Consider the following 17,383-nt stretch of genomic DNA (forward strand, 5'->3'; position numbering starts at 1 on the left):
TACGCTTATATTAATGTCTATACATATGTATACACACACATTGCTTAACATAGAAACAAATGCTGGGTGGTATGCTTTGAATCCTTGTCCTTCAAATCTATCTAAGAAAGCACATTTCATGACTCTTGGCTTTAAAAGCCTTATGGGGAAAGTTGAAATACTTACAGCTAGCTCAAAGAAGATTGAGAGAGGAAGCCTATTGGTTCTGATAGACTTCAGGAATTGGGCTTGACATAGATTAAGAATACTGTTCTTGCTCACACTTTTTCAGAAAGCTAGAAGACCTATTGGAGGGAGATCAGTGTGTTTCTTGAAAATATCATGTGGTGATATGAATAGAGGGATGAAGTATTAGATGACCTCTTCAGTTTTGATAATAATGGCTTCTATTAATACATCTTGTGTAATAACTGGCCATCTTTTATGGCATTTTGAATTTTGAATTGCATCAGAGATTAAAGTCCTTTATATCTCTCAGGCTATTAGTTAAGTGACAAATTTGAATTTGCTTTCTAGTGTGTGAGGAAGTTTCTCAGCATGTTTTACTAGTTTTACATCCTTGTTCAAAAATATATCCTAAGGTCTAAATTTATTTTCTTTCTTTCTTTCTTTCTTTCTTTCTTTCTTTCTTTCTTTCTTTCTTTCTTTCTTTCTTTCTTTTTCTTTCTTTCTTTCTTTTTTTTCTTCCTTTCTTCCTTTCTATTTTCTTCCCCTTTCTTTCCCCCCTTCCTCTCTTCCTTCCTTCTCCTTCCTTCCTTCCTTCCCTCCCTCCCTCCTTCCTTCCGTCTTTCCTTCCCTCTTTCCTTCCCTCCTTCTATCCTTGCTTCATCTTGCTCTGTCGCTCAGGCTGGAGTGCAATAGCACAATCTTGGCTCACTCCAACCACTGCCTCCCAGGTTCAAGCGATTCTCCTGCCTCAGCCTCCCGAGTAGCTGGGTCTGCAGGTGCCTGCCACCACACCTGGCTAATTTTTGTATGTTTAGTAGAGATGGGGTTTCACCATGTTGGCTAGTCTGGTCTCGAACTCCTGACCTCAGGTGATCCATGATCCACCCACCTTGACCTACCAAAGTGCTGGGATTACAGGCGTGAGCCACCACACCCGGCCTAAATAATTTATTTTTGGAATGAAAGAAATTGCCTCATTTTATTCAGTGTTGCCAGAGCTAAAAATAGTAGCTAATTTAAAACCTCTGCTTAATGTTTCTCTTGATGTTTTAGGTCGATGGCGTGAACATTCAGGGTTTTGCCAACCATGATGTTGTTGAAGTATTACGAAATGCAGGGCAGGTGGTACACCTAACCCTAGTTCGAAGGAAGACATCCTCATCTACTTCTCCACTTGAACCACCTTCAGACAGAGGTGATTAATTTGCCACCCCTCTATCCCTCAAGTAGTTTACATTTGGAAGAGCAGTTCAATTATGGAAGTTGCTCCATGAGTCTCAGCAGGAAATGTTGTCCCACCTCGTGTAATACACTGATGGAGAAATGAGTCAGCTCATTTGTTCACTGAAGCAAGTGTTTTCTTTGCTTACTATGTCAGTCAGAATGGTAGGATGTGCACCCGACATGCACTAAGCTCTGAGAGCATCTCTAAATGGAGTTGAAAATCATTTTTTCTAAAAGCTTTCAAATTTCATTGATTACGTATATTTGAATAATAAAGCTTTGACACCTTTTGTTAGGGGAATCTCATTTGTCTAATACTTTGACATTTTGCAGACTTCGGGTTTCCTATTACTTTTTTTTTTTTTGAGACAGTCTTACTGTCTTGCCTAGGCTGGAGTGCAGTGGCACGATCTTGGCTTACTGCAACCTCTGCCTCCTGGGTTCAAGTGATTCTCGTGCCTCAGCCTCCCAAGTAGCTGGGACTACAGGCATGTGCCACCACACACGGCTAATTCTGTTTGTATCTTTAGTAGAGATAGGGTTTCACCGTGTTGGTAAGGCTGGTCTCAAACTCCTGACCTCAGGTGATCTGCCTGCCTTGGTCTTCCAACATGCTGTAATTACACGTGTGAGCCACTGCGCCCAGCCAGGTTTCCTATTACTTTTAACAATATATTTTATTCTAATCTGCCTCTTGATTTACTTTTTGAAGTATACTGAGAGAAAATAAAACACGTATTTGTATTTTATTTTTTTTAGACAGGTCTCACTTTGTTGCCCAGGCTGGAGTGTAGTGGCATGTTCATGGCTCACTGCCGCCTTACTTCCTGGGCTCAAGTTATCCTCCTACCTCAGCCTCCTGAGTAGCTGGGACCACGGGTGAGCACCACCATACCCAGATAATTTATTTTTATTTTTTTTGTAGAGATGGGGTCTCTCCTGTGTTGCCCATGCTAGTCTTGAACTCCTGGGCTCAAGTGATCCACCTGCCTTGGCCTCCTAAACTACTGGGATTACAGGTGTTAACCACGGTGCCTGGCTGCATGTCAGTTTTTAATTATCAACTTAGAAACATATAGATGAACAAAAGTTGATAATCATGGAAACACATATTCAATTTAGAATGAGTGAATTACTGGGTGCAGTAATTCTAGCCATGCTTGGTGGCTCATGCCTGTAATTCCAGCACTTCTGGAGGCCAAGGCAGGAGAATCACTTGAGGCCAGGAATTTAAGACCAGCCTGGCCAACATAGAGAGACCCCTTCTCTACAAAAAATTAAACATTAGCCGGGCCTGGTGGCACCCACCTGTAGTCCCAGCTACTCAGGAGGCTCAGGCAGGAGAATCACTTGAACCTAGGAGTTTGAGGCTTCAGTGAGCATGCCACTGCCTGCCGGCCTGCGTGACAGAGTGAGACCTGTCTCTTAAAAGAAAAAAAAAAAGTGACTAGTTGTATAACTAGGGAGTAAGAAATACTTCAATTAGAATTTGACAGAAGATCATTTTTTTCCTCTGAAAATATTCTTCTGAAGATACAATACACCTGGAAGCCTTTGCTTTCAGCCGATAGTGATTTGTATTTAAATTGGAACTTTTTCTCTTTTATGTGATAGTAGAACTTTTGTTGCTGAAAGACAGATGCCCTGCCAACTGCATCCAGTGTATGAAATTAAAAATTGCCTAAATAGTCCAAATTGTACAAATGCCATTAAAAAAATTTTTTTTAATGATTTATTGATTTATTTATTTTTGAGATGGAGTTTCACTCTTGTCGCCCAGACTGGAGTGCAATGGCGCGATCTTGGCTCACTGCAACTTCCACCTCCTGTGTTCAAGTGATTCTCCTGCCTCAGCCTCCCCAGTAGCTGGAATTACAGGCGCTGCCCGCCACCATGCCTGGCTAATTTTTTGTGTTTTTAGTAGAGATGGGGTTTCACTATGTTGGCCAGGCTGGTCTCAAACTCCTGGCCTCGTGATCCACCTGCCTTGGCCTCCCAAAGTGCTTGGATTACAGGCGTGATCCACCACGCCTGGCACAAATGCCATATTGACCTTAAATTGCTTACATAAATATTTATATAAATGTTTTTTTAATTTAAAATTTATTTTTATAGATTCAGGGGATAAATGTGCATGTTTGTTACATGGATATATATGCATAGTGTTGGGGTTTGGTCTTCTAGTATACCCATCACTCAAATAGTGAACATCATACTGAATATGTAATTTTTCAACCCTCACCCCCGCTCCACCAGCCTCCTTCATCCTGGGATCCCCAGTGTTTATTATCTTCTTCTGCATATCTGTGTGTACCCATTGTTTAGCTTAGTGAGAACATGGAGTGTTTAATTTCCTGTTTCCGAGTCATTTCACTTAGAATAATGGCCTCCAGCACCATTCATGTTGCTGAAAACAAAACAAAACATAATTTCATTCTTTTTATGCCTGTATAGTAGTCCATGAAACAAAACATAGTTTCATTCTTTTTATGCCTATATATATATACATACCACATTTTCTGTATCCTATCATCTGTTGATGGACACTTAGATTGCTTTCATGGCTTTGCTTTTGCAAATAGTGCTGAAATAAACATACAAGTACATGTGTCTTTTTGATAGAACTATTTCTTTTCCTTTGGGTAGAAACCCAGTAGTGGAGTTACTGGGTCAAATTGTTGTGCTATTTTTAGTTCTTTAAGAGATCTCCATACTGTTTTCCACATCGACAGAAGTTGTACTAATTTACATCCCCACCAACAGTGTATAAGTGTTCTCTTTTCTCCACATCCTTGCCAATATCAGTTGTTTTTTGACTTTTTAATAATGGCCATTCTGACTGATATGAGATGGTATCTCATTGTGGTTTGAATGTGGATTTAATTGCAGGATTGTTAGTTTGCTGGCTACTTATATTCTACTTTTGAGAAAATGTCTGTTCATGTCTTTTGCCCACTTTTTAATGGTGGGTTGTTTTATTGTTACTGAGTTGTGTGAGTTCCTTCTGGAACCTGAATATTAGTTGTTCATTGGAGACATAGTTTGCAAATATTTTCTCCCATTCTGTAGGTTGTCTGTTTACTGTGTTGACTACCTATTTTGCTATGCAGAAGCTTTTCTTTTTTTAAATTTTTTTGTTATACTTTAAGTTCTAGGGTACATGTGCACAACGTGCAGGTTTGTTACATATATGTACATGTGCCATGTTGGTGTGCTACACCCATTAACTCATCATTTATATTAGGTAGTTCTCCTAATGCTATCCCTCCCCTTCTTCCCACCCCACAACAGGCCCCGGTGTGTGATGTTCCCCACCCTGTGTCCAAGTGTTCTCATTATTCAATTCTCACCTATGAGTGAGAACATGGTGGTGTTTGGTGTTCTGTCCTTGTGATAGTTTGCTCAGAATGATGGTTTCCAGCTTCACCCATGTCCCTACAAAGGACATGAACTCATCCTTCTTATGGCTGCGTAGTGTTCCATCGTGTATATGTGCCACATTTTCTTAATCCAGTCTATCACTGATAGACATTTGGGTTGGTTCCAAGTCTTTGCTATTGTGGATAATGCCGCAATAAACATACATGTGCATGTGTCTTTACAGCAGCATGATTTATGATCCTTTGGGTATATACCCAGTAATGGGATGGCTGGGTCAAATAGTGTATCTAGTTCTAGATCCTTGAGGAATCGCCATACTGTCTTCCACTGTGGGTGAATTAGTTTACACTCCCACCAACAGTGTAAAAGTGTTCCTATTTCTCTACATCCTCTCCAGCACCTGTTGTTTCCTGACTTTTTAATGATTGCCATTCTAACTGGTGTGAGATGGTATCTCATTGTGGTTTTGATTTGCATTTCTCTGATGGCCAGTGATGGTGGGCATTTTTTCATGTGTCTTCCCATTGTTTAGTTCCTTATTCTTTTCAATGCCATTAATCCATTAATAAGTTCATTTTTTAAGGAATTGATTGGTTGTCTATTACACATGGCATTTTGGGTTTAAGGAATCATATATATAAGTTACCTCAGATTTAATAAGGTTGTGAAATGGGAGAAATGGGAGAACAGCAGTAAAATCTGCTCACTTAAATATAGTCCTCAACAACTAATAATTCAAGTTAGCATTAACAAAATTTTAAAAAATTATTTTTTTTTGTTTTAGGAACTGTTGTAGAACCACTGAAACCACCAGCTCTCTTTCTAACTGGAGCAGTGGAAACTGAAACTAATGTGGATGGTGAAGATGAGGAAATTAAAGAAAGAATTGATACTTTAAAAAATGACAACATACAAGCCTTAGAAAAATTGGGTAGGCACAAAGCATTCACTTTGCGATAACAGACTTCTTCATTTGTTAACCATTTTCTGTCTTTATAGTTAATATAGTATGAGAAATCTTAGAGGCATTTTGGAGACATAAAATAGGATATTCTTAATATCAACTTTTTTTTTGAGACAGAGTTTCTTTTTTTTTTCTTTTTTTTTTTTAATTGTACTTTAAGTTCTAGGGTACATGTGCACAACGTGCAGGTTTGTTACATATGTATACATGTGCAATGTTAGTGTGCTGCACCCATTAACTCATCATTTACATTAGGTATTTCTCCTAATGTTCTCCCTCACCACTCCTCCCACCCCACGACAGGCCCTGAGATGGAGTTTCATTCTTGATGCCCAGGCTGGAGTGCGGTGGCATGATCTCAGCTTACTGCAACCTCCACCTCCTGGGTTCAAGCGATTCTCCTGCCTCAGCCTCCCGAGTAGCTGGAATTACAGGTGCATGCCACCACACTGGGCTAATTTTTGTATTTTTAGTAGAGATGGGTTTCACCATGTTGGCCAGGCTGGTCTCAAACTCCTGGCTTCAAGTGATCTGCCCACCTGGGCCTCCCAAAGTGTTGGGATTATAGGCGTGAGCCACCGTGCCCAGCCAATATCAACATTTAACATTTTAATCTTTCTTTACTTATATTAATTATTTTATTTTATTTTAATTTTTGTAGAGATGGAGTCTCACTATGTTGTCCAGGCTGGTTTCAAACTCCTGAGCTCAAGCCATGCTCCCACTTTGGCCCCCCAAAGTGCTGAGATTATAGGCGTGAACCACCTTAGCTTATATATTATCATTGATATGTCTATATCTATAGATTATTGCTGTTTATACACATATAGCATATGTTTCTTTTTCATTATACATGTTTTTTATTATAAAAATTAATAATGTATGCATTTCTATAAGTTGCATTGAATTGCCAAGCTGTTATACCTTTATTCTTTAATTTTTTTTAATTGATTTGCAGCTTTGTCCTTTTACTTTGTATTTTGATACCTTAGCTATTATAGTGGACTCTACTCTCCAAGCTCATTGAGTAACAGTTGCACACAGTTCCCTGCACAAAAGTGCTCTGGAAAGCCTCGCCAGCTAAATGAAACTCCTTGAGTACTTAACACCATCCATGTTCCCGAGAAGTTTTGGCTTTTGGCTTTGTCTTGTCTCAGGTCAGGAAAGAATAGCCTATGATTTGGAAATTTACCTTGTTCTTTTTGACTCAAGTAGATTGCAGTTTATCTTTGCAAATCTGAGTTGAGCTCAGATTTTCAGAAAAATGTCAGATGAAAATCAAGTACATTCTGAAATTAGATATAGTTTTAGAAGTATTTTTTCCATAATGTTCATTTTTTTATTATTACAATGACAAGACAAAGTTTTTCGTATCACCATTACACTTATACTAGGGATAACAATACTCCTCTATTATAAATGCTACATGACCTTTTAAAAACATTATTTACTATGCTTGGCATAACTGGGCATGCTTAATAAAATAAATAAAAGATAAAACATTCAATTTTTTTTTTACTAATCAAAGTACCTAATTTTATACAATTTGCACTCAACTTTTAATGTTAGTAATAGAAACAATGAAATTATTTTACTTCTTGATACTTAAGACTTTAACTCCAACACATGCACTACAAGATTTTCGTCATCAATATAACGGTCTTGGCATCTTATATGTTATGTTCCCGTTTTAAATCAAGTCCTACTTGCTAAAACGAAAACCGGTAAAGACAATGAACAGATGGTTCACGAAAGAGGAATACAAAAAGCCAATAACAACACTGGCATATCAACCTCATTCGCAATGAAAGAAATACAGATTTTAAAAATGACATACCATTTTTGGTTATATATGCAAAAATTAAAAATTATACTTACAGTTGACCAGGAAGTATTAGTTTTAGAAATATTTTATGTGTGCTTTTTGGATCAACTTCACTACGTTTTTTTCTTCTTGCATATGTATAATTTTAGCTTTAGAGTAAAATCAAAATCTACTAACTGCTATGAGGTTAGCTCTCTTTTTGTCTTTGGAATAATTATTTCAGATCATCATGTTATTCATTTTTTGATCATTTTGTGTAGCCTAGGATTTATTGAGCTGCTGAAAGCATATCTCTTTTCTCCAGCACTTAGGCCTTTGTACTGTGGTTTAAAACACATGACTGTGTTTTCATTGTACAACTGAAAGGTAAAAATATAGTCAAAAAAATTGCTGGTGAAATGTCAACATTATTTTATACATTTATATTAACTGTCATATGAGAGCCATGTTTTTAAGTTTAGAATTCAACAAATAAATTGCCAATTTTGTTCAGTTTTGTTTACCAGTTAAGAAATTACTGCCTAGAAGAAATTTATGAGGCAAGATGTTAGAACTCTTAATGTAATTTCTTAAGGAAATGCTAACAGGAATAGGTGCAAAGGTGCAGAGCCCAAATGAATTTGATTTTTTGTTTTTAATAGGATCTTTGGTTAGTTATCACCTAAATGTAATCTAGCATAGCAATTGATATAGTTATTTCATGGGTATTCTTTTATAAATGTAGTAATTTAAGTTCTTTAATGTTCATTAGTCTTAGTCACTGATTTTTGAGGTTAGCCTGTTTCACTTAATGATTTGTATTATGTGATTAAACATTATATGCATCCAAGATGAGCTGTCCATGCTGAAGACTGAAAGAGCTGATACTGCAAGTTAACATTTGATTTTAGGCAGATGGTTATATCAGTTGTGATAACTGTTCTGTGACTTGTTTAATCTTAAGACAAAATTGAGACAGTTTTTCTTTAAGTTAAAAAACGTAGAAGTTTGTTCATTTTCTGCTACTGCTATGGGTATAAGGTATAACTTCAGTTTTAGTACTTTGACTTTTGCCTGTTAGACATTATTCATACTATGCACCGTGCACTGAGCTTCTGGCTACAGTCATGTGGAGGACAGGCAAGACACTTAAAATCTGTTTTGGCACTGTAAAATTATCTATGCAACAAAGACAGTATTCCACTCAAAAAAGTCGTAAAGATACAAATATCTTAATAACCAAGCAACAAAAGACTAGTGTGAAACCAAAGTTTCTATTGTATTAAAGCTCATGGAACTTTGACTGAATTAAACCAGACAAGCCTTTATAGCTACCCATGTGAAAAGTCTGAATGTATTGTGTTGATATGCGCTGCTGATAGTAAAGATATCTTGGTAAGTTTTTACTTTTCTAGTGGGCAGCTGGAATGGAACTACTTTGAAGTGATTAACATTTAAATTAAATCCTTCTATGTCCTAATGTATTATAAAGCAAAGCCACATGCATTTTACTTGTAAACTATAGGATATTTACATATAAACTGTATATAATTTAAATTTCATGTATAACTCATCACGTCCTCTTTCCTTTAAAATATCCCTTAACAACAAAAGCACCTTCATAATTTGGTCACAGCTGATCTTTACATTTTATGTTAGTTTTATAAGTCACCTCTGATTTACTTTACCTAGCAGACCTAAGTTAATGCATTTTCCTTTTTATTCATTTCCCCTTTACTTACTGAAACTGGGCTGTTATTGAAGAATTTAGCAGTTAAGTGTGTTTGGCTCACAGTAGTTTCAACATTCTCTCGCTCTCTCTCTTTTTTTTTAATATCCAGAAAAAGTCCCAGACTCTCCAGAAAATGAGCTGAAATCCAGATGGGAAAACCTGTTGGGTCCTGATTATGAAGTAATGGTATGTTAAAATGCTCTAATAAAAAACATTCATGTCTCATTTCACATCAAGTTTCTAACAGTACGATCCAAAGAAATGGGTGAGTCAAAGAATAGCCCGCCTGACTTTATTTTTCCTTCCTGCCTTTCTTCCCTAGTGGATCAATCGATTTTTTTCCCCCCATCTTTAGCATTTTAAGCAGTAAGAATAATTAAGGACTGCACACAAACTTCAGTTAACATTAGGAGACACTCAGTTCGTGTTGAAACCATTTAAGTCGACAATAGACAGAAAACTGTTGGGAGAGAGGGCTTGCCTTTAAATTTATAACCTGTATCAGCTGCTTAAAATTGCTGGCATTTTTATGATTGCTTTTATGATCTGTTTGTTTTATTGTACACTGAAAGGACTGTGGATATTAGTCCTATGTTTCACAAAGAATCTTACAGTTTTATGTGAAAAATGAAAGAATGATTATCAAATGTATTTGGAAGAACAGGAAGTAATTTAGGTTAGGTATAAGTTTATAGTGCCAGTGGTCCATTAGACTTCCTTTCACCTGCTATTAGATTCATTGAGTAAGGGACTGATTACATTTCCCCATATGAATCCACATGAAGGCAGACGGTTGTGCTTAGACAAGCCTCTACAGTGTTCACTAAATGCATTAGTAATAAAATACTCTTTTACATTTCTACTCTCATTCACATTTTCTTACATATGTTTATAATTAGTACTGGTTGGCTGGTTGGAGATTTTTAAAATCTTTTTGGTTTAGATTACCTAACCACCATCTGTTGTCACAGAATTTTCAGTGTCATTAAGATGAGTCAAGGCCGGGCGCGGTGGCTCACGCCTGTAATTCCAGCACTTTGGGAGGCCGAGGCGGGCGGATCACGAGGTCAGGAGATCGAGACCATCCTGGCTAACATGGTGAAACCTCGTCTCTACTAAAAATACAAAAAATTAGCCGGGCGTGGTGGCGGTCGCCTGTAATCCCAGCTACTCGGGAGACTGAGGCAGGAGAATGGCGTGAACCTGGGAGGTGGAGCTTGCAGTGAGCGGAGATCATGCCACTGCACTCCAGGCTGGGTGACAGAGCGAGATTCCGCCTCAAAAAAAAAAAAAAAAAGATGAGTCAATACAATTCACACTTTCTCTTGGTAACTTTATGCCTGTGTGTCAGTTCTCATGAGCTGCTGTTTCTTTGCTTCACAGATTTTGAATATGGTTATTAGGCTATCACCTAGCAAATGGCATTTCCTACTTATCTTAGTGGTTTGGTATTCAAATAAATTTGCTGTAACAGTATTTACAAATGGCCAGTTTTATGATGGGCTCTTTTTTTTGTTAAAAACATTTTTTAGGCCGGGTGGAGTAGCTCACACCTGTAATCCCAGCACTCTGGGAGGCCAAGAAGGGTGGATCACTTGAGGTCGGGAGTCTGAGACCAGCCTGGCCAACATGGTGAAACCTTGTATCTACTAAAAATACAGAAATTAGCTGGGTGTGATAGTGGGCACCTGTAATCCCAGCTACTCAGGAGGCTGAGGCAGGAGAATTGCTTAACCTGGGAGGCGGAGGTTGTGGTGAGCTGAGATCGTGCCACTGCACTGCAGCTGGGCAAAAGAGGGAGACTCCACCTCAAAAACAAAACAAAACAAAACAAAAAACAAAAAAACATTTTTTTGAGAGACAGGGTCTTTCTCTGTTGCCCAGGCTGGAATGCAGTGGTACAATCATAGTTCACTGCAGCTTCAACTTTCTGGGCTCAAGTGATCTCCCACCTCAGCCTCCTGACTGGCTGGAACTACAAGCATGAGCCACCACGCTCGCTTAATTTTTCAAATTTTTTTAGAGATGGTGTCTCGCTGTGTTGCCCAGTCTGGTCTCGAACTCCTGGGCTCAAGTGATCCACCCTGCTTGGCCTCCCAGAGTTCTGGGATACAGACATGAGCCACTGCCAGCCTTCTGTTAAAATTTTATTCTCCTTATAATTAAACTTTTAAATTTCATTTATTTATTACATGGTGAGGTCATAACAGACAAATTATAAAGAGGAGACAGAATTTGAAGTTGGAAATTTAAAGTGACAGCTATCCATTAAAAGTTGTAGCATCTTGTACCGAGGAATGGTTGGCAGAAAGAAGCTAGGCATGATGGAGAATGAATGAATGCGTGTACTCCAATATTTCTTATTTTGTTAAAAAACTTTCTTACAGGATCTGCTTATCTGAAATGCAGTACTTTCAGAAGCTGTAGTTGGGTCATTGTTTAACTTATCCCTTCCCGCCAGATGCATCATATTTTATTAACAAGTTACAGATGCAAATCATCAGTAACATACTTTTGCTTGCAAGGAATTCACTTCTGTGGATGTCCACCATTGAAGCTTAGAACAATAGTTTTAGGCCAGGATTAAAAGCTTTAAGTATTCCATGAGCTTTCCACCAAGGACCAGGTCTTTCCGTTTATGTCTTTGCCAGCTATTTCTCCTGGGGAAATGGTTTGAGCTTGTTGTGGAAAGTCAGATGCTTTAGTTTTTCCAAACACATCTGACTTTACTGACCTTGCAAATTTTGTTTTGAGGCTTGGGTTTGAAAGTAAAAATGGCCATATTTTTGATTTTGTCAAAAGAGTAAAATTTTTATGCATCCAGGATAATGGAGGATTATATTAAAATTTTAGGGGTCATGGATTTTTAAAAATAGTATATATATGTGCCCATCACCTTCTGTTCAATTTATGTAATTTAGGAAAAAAGATTGTTGTGGAGAACAACAACAAAAAAATCAAATATACTCTGAAATTTCACATTATGTGTTATAGATTTCAAAAATATAAGAAAGGTATCGGAATGTAGGTCAAATAGAGTTATCAATATATAGGTTTTACAGATATTTTCAGAAAATGTAGGAGGAAATACAGTTATGCTTTTACAAATACTGGAAATTTTTTTTGTAAATTTAGGTTGCTACTTTGGACACACAGATTGCAGATGATGCTGAGTTACAGAAATATTCAAAGGTAAGCATTTTTTATAACAAAGTTAACAGTTTTATTTTTTTTAAGAGATAGGGTCTCACTATGTTGTCCAGGTTGGTCTCAAACTCATAGGCTAAAGTGATCCTCCCGTGTTTCCCTCCCAAAGTGTTAGGATTACAGGTGGAGCCACTGAACTCGGCCCATTTTTTTATCGTTTGAAGAACTTTCTTTAAATTCTTGCTGAAGAAACTAAATTAGTGCTGTGACCTAAAGTTTCCAGAATTTAGTCTTGCATGTTTCCTAGAAATGTGATGGGTCTCACTGTTATGAAAGATGATGCCTGGGAAGAACACAGGATCCCTATGTCATGTTCAGAAGCCAAAACCCAGGTTTGACTCCTTTGCCCACATTAGAGGTAGTATGCAGAGTAACATTGTGCAGTGTGCGTTAGTTTTTTAGATATTATAAGGAGTCCTTTAATGAATGTTTCCTAAAAATCAAGACCCGGGAATACAGGCTTTAAAAAAGGCTTCAGGTTCAGATGTTCAAGGAAAGAAAAGTGGTTTATCTTCTGAGTGTAGGCAGTAGTTGTTCTTGAACTTAAAACGTTTTTGGTAAGCTTTATTTCTGTTGGCAAGGTGCCAGAAGACAACTTCGACAGTTTTTTTTCCAACATTTTTTAGCATCCTGTCACTAAACATTCCCATTCTGGATAAGCAGAGGCCAGGGCAATTGAAACTTAGAGAAGCCTTGTAGGCGGCCTCCTCAACAATTGATAAGAAAGGAAAGATGTTCTTGCCTGAGTGGTTTCAGAAGTCATAGTGTAATTCTGCATGGGATATAAGTGCTGAGCCTACCTTAAACTCTTCTGTCACATGCAGTTTTAAGAATGTATTTTCTTTTTTTTTTTTTTTTTGAGACAGAGTTTCGCCCTTGTTGCCCAGGCTGGAGTGCAGTGGCACAATCTTGGCTCACCGCAACCTCTGCCTCCCGGGTTCAAGCGATTCTCCTGCCTCAGCCTCTCTAGTAGCTAGGATTACAGGCATGCACCACCATGCCCGGCTAATTTTGTATTTTCAGTAGAGACGAGGTTTCTCCCTGTTGGTCACGCTGGTCTCCAACTCCCGACCTCAGGTAATCCACCCACCTTGGCCTCCCAAAGTGCTGGGATTACAGGCATGAGCCACAGCGCCAGGCTAAAAATGTATTTTCTGCATCCCATGAAGGTTTCATAAGAAGTTGAAAAGTCTTTAGATAGTGCTACCATTTTCTTCTTGGTTGAATATTTGTAATCAATATTTATCTTCCATGATTTTATGCTATGTATGCCATAATTTTATAGGTTTCAATTTTCTTTTCTTTCTTTTTTTTTTTTTGCACAGAGTCTTGCTCTGTCGCCCAGGCTGGAGTGCAGTGGCATGATCTCAGCTCATTGCAACCTTCGCCTCCTGGGTTCAAACGATTCTCCTGCCTCAGCCTCCCAAGTAGCTGGGACTTTACAGACATGTGTCACCACCCCCGGCTAATTTTTTTCTTTTTTAAGTAGAGATGGGGTTTCACCATGTTGGTCAGGCTGGTCTCGAACTCCTGACCTCAGGTGATCCACCTGCCTCGGCCTCCCAGAGTGCTGGGATTACAGGCATGAGTCACCACGCCTGGCCAGGTTTGAATTTTCAAGGCTGACACTTGAGAGTCTTTCTTCCCTTCCCAGTTTACCTGCATCTTGAGTCACTTCATTGTTGTGACTGTGTCGGCCAACTGACCAAGCTTTCCTCAGATGTACAAAATCTGAGGAAAATATGGCTCGCCTTGTAGTTTAATTTTAAATTATTTACAAAGTCAGATTAGAGTAGTGACTAAATATTAATGCCATCTCAATATATTGAGAGGGATTTAATTCAAAATGAGAGTAAGAAATACAAATACAAAGCTGGGTGTGGTGGCTCACACCTGTAATCCCAGCACTTTGGGAGGCCGAGGCGGGCAGATCATGAGGTCCGAAGTTCGAGACCAGCCTGGCCAACATAGTGAAACCCTGTCTCTACTAGAAATACAAAACTTAGCCGGGCATGGTGGCATGCACCTGTAGCCCCAGCTACTTGGTAGGCTGAGGGAGGAGAATCGCTTGAACCCAGGAGGCAGAGATTGTGGTGAGTCGAGATCGTGCCACTGCACTCCAGCCTGGGCAACAGAGCGAGACTCTGTCTCAAAAAATAAATAAATAAATAAATAAATAAATAAATAAATAAATAAATAAACCCAGTCTGTACTAAAAATACAAAAAAATTAGCCGGGCGTGGTAGTGGGCACCTGTAATCCTAGCTAGTCAGGAGGCTGAGGCAGGAGAATCACTTGAACCCGGGAGGCGGATGTTGCAATGAGCTGAGATCGCGCCATTGCATTTCAGCCTGGGCAACAAGAGGGAAACTCCGTCTCAAAGACAAACACCTCATCAAGCTTCATTTGTTATTAATTACTGCATTATAGTGTACTGATTACATGGATTCTAGAACCAAACTGCCTGAGTTCAAATTCTGGCTTATGCAGAATTTCATAGCTGTGTAATCTTAGAAAATGATCTAAAGTCCATGTCTCAGTTTTTTGTATGTAAAAAGGAAATATTAATACCTGCCTCATAGATTTATATAGGAATTAACTCTATTATGCTTAATATTGTACCTGCCTCATAGATTTATATAGGTATTAACTGTAATATGCCTAGAATAGTTGCAAGCACATAGTAGGCTCTTGTTTTTTGAGACGGAGTTTCATTTTTATTGCCTAGGCTGGGGTGCAATGGTGTGATCTTGGCTCACTGTAACCTCCGCCTCCTGGGTTCAAGCGATTCTCCTGCCTCAGCCTCCCAGGTAGCTGGGATTATAGGTGCCCACCACCACGCCTGGCTAATTTTTTCTATTTTTAGTAGAGATGGAGTTTCACCATGTTGGCCAAGCTGGTCTCGAACTCCTGCCCTCAGGTGAAGCCTTGGCCTCCTAAAGTGCTGGGATTACAGGTGTGAACCACTGTGCCCAGCCAGGCTCTTATTATTATTTTTATTATTATCATATAAATCAGTGTTGCATGAAATTGCTCTTTAATTTACACTAAACTCTTAGATATTTTCTATTTAAATGTTTTCTAGTTTACTAAATTTCCTGTGCCTAATCAGCTGCTAAAGCCCATCTATTAAGTGCTTAATTTTAGTTATTTATCTAGTATGGAATTTTCATTTTATTTCTTTTTACATTATAATTCTCCAGCTAAATTCCCAAAGTAAAAAAAAAAAATCTAGGCTGGACGCGGTGGCTCACGCCTGTAATCCCAGCACTTTGGGATGCCGAGGTGGGTGGATCACGAGGTCAGGAGATCGAGACCATCCTGGCTAACACAGTGAAACCCCATCTCTACTAAAAATACAAAAAATTAGCCGGGCGTGGTGGCGGGCGCCTGTAGTCCCAGCTACTCGGGAGGCTGGGGCAAGAGAATGGCGTGAACCCGGGAGGCGGAGCTTGCAGTGAGCCGAGATCACGCCACTGCACTCCAGCCTGGGCGACAGAGCGAGACTCCATCTCAAAAAAAAAACACTATATTTTTCATCTATTTCTGTATTTGCCATCTTTTCCTCTATTTCTTCAACATGTTAACCATAGCTTATAAAGACTTTAAGTAATTCCAATATCTGGATCAACTTTGGATCTGTTTCTGTCATTCGATGTTTTGTCTTTTTGTTTGGGTATATCTCTTGTTATGCCAAAATTTGATTAAATATCTGACAACTATAAAAGGCTTCAGATGATATCAGTTATCTCTGTCCAGAGAGGTCTTACCGTGCCTGCTAATGTGGTGATAGAGGAAGGGGAGGGAATAGAGAGAGAGAGAGAGAGAGAGAGAGAGAGAGAGAGAGAGAATGTGAGTGACTGAGAGAGAGAGAGAGAGAGAGAGAGAGTGTGTGTGTGTGTGTGTGTGTGTGTGTGTGTGTGGTGGTATTGGTGGGTGCTCATCTTGGAGACGGGGCAGAGGTACAGTTCTGTAAGAGTCAGACCACCTCTGATTTGCTTCACTTTTAAGACACAGTCTTGGCCAGGCACAGTGGCTCACACCTGTAATCCTAGCATTTTGGGAGGCCGAGGCAGGAAGATCACCTGAGGTCAGGAGTTCAAGACCAGCCTGGGCAACATGATAAAACCTCGTCTCTCCTAAAAATACAAAAATTAGCCAGGCATGGTGGTGGGTGCCTGTAATCCCATCTACTCGGGAGGCTGAAGCAGGAGAATTGCTTGAACCTGGGAGGTGGAGGCCTCAGTGAGCCAAGATTGTGCCACTGGACTCCAGCCTGGGCAATACAGCGAGATTCTGTCTAAAAAAAATAAAAAAAGACACAGCCTCCCGGGTAATCCACGAAAGACCCTGGGGTGTTTACCAGTCCTCTTATCCTGGTGGAACCTGAACTCTAATCTTCTCTCCTTAGTAGTGTGGACTGCTGAAATACTTGCTTTGCTTTTCCAGGGTTTCCTGATTAGCTTTTTAGCCTCCTGTGTCATATTACTTTAGAACTCAGGATATGTCCTTTCAGGGAAGTCCTGCCCTGATCAGGCTCCATTCATCACGTGGTTCAGCTTTACTTGTCTGTCCTCCCACATTCAAAGCCTAAGACCCTGAATCATCATGTTTTATAATAAGTAAAAGACAGCAAGGAAAAAAGGCACAAAGCACACTTTGTGTACATTTTTGAAGAGTGTGATTCTCTTTCTCCAGGCAGAAGATGTTCTTTCTCACTCTCACTCCTTAGTTCTCTGCCTCCACACTTACTGTGTTGTCTTTCCTGATCAACCTCTATGGAATGTACATATATATATATATATATATATATATATATATATATATATATATACACACACACACACACACACATACACACATATACATATTTGTACTCAGTAACTCTGGTATAAATGGGCAG

The 17,383-nt window shown here is 39.1% G+C and overlaps 1 protein-coding gene across 23 annotated transcripts in view; it reads left to right on the forward strand.

The window, feature by feature from the left end:
* Window positions 1-17,383, forward strand: part of PATJ (PATJ crumbs cell polarity complex component) — a 421,436-nt gene that overhangs the window by 53,586 nt on the left and 350,467 nt on the right. For all 23 annotated transcript variants that reach the window (XR_007061928.1, XM_011540462.4, XM_011540467.4 and 20 more), the window contains 4 exons: window positions 1,222-1,363; window positions 5,558-5,704; window positions 9,383-9,459; window positions 12,409-12,465. Coding sequence is in view for 22 of the 23 variants with exons in the window: in XM_011540462.4 (XP_011538764.1) it covers window positions 1,222-1,363; window positions 5,558-5,704; window positions 9,383-9,459; window positions 12,409-12,465 (423 nt within the window). In the remaining variant the exon portion in view is untranslated. The remainder of the gene's footprint in view (window positions 1-1,221; window positions 1,364-5,557; window positions 5,705-9,382; window positions 9,460-12,408; window positions 12,466-17,383) is intronic.

The sequence above is a fragment of the Homo sapiens genome, chromosome 1, assembly GCF_000001405.40.
Source record: "Homo sapiens chromosome 1, GRCh38.p14 Primary Assembly".
Taxonomy (NCBI): Eukaryota; Metazoa; Chordata; class Mammalia; order Primates; family Hominidae; genus Homo; species Homo sapiens.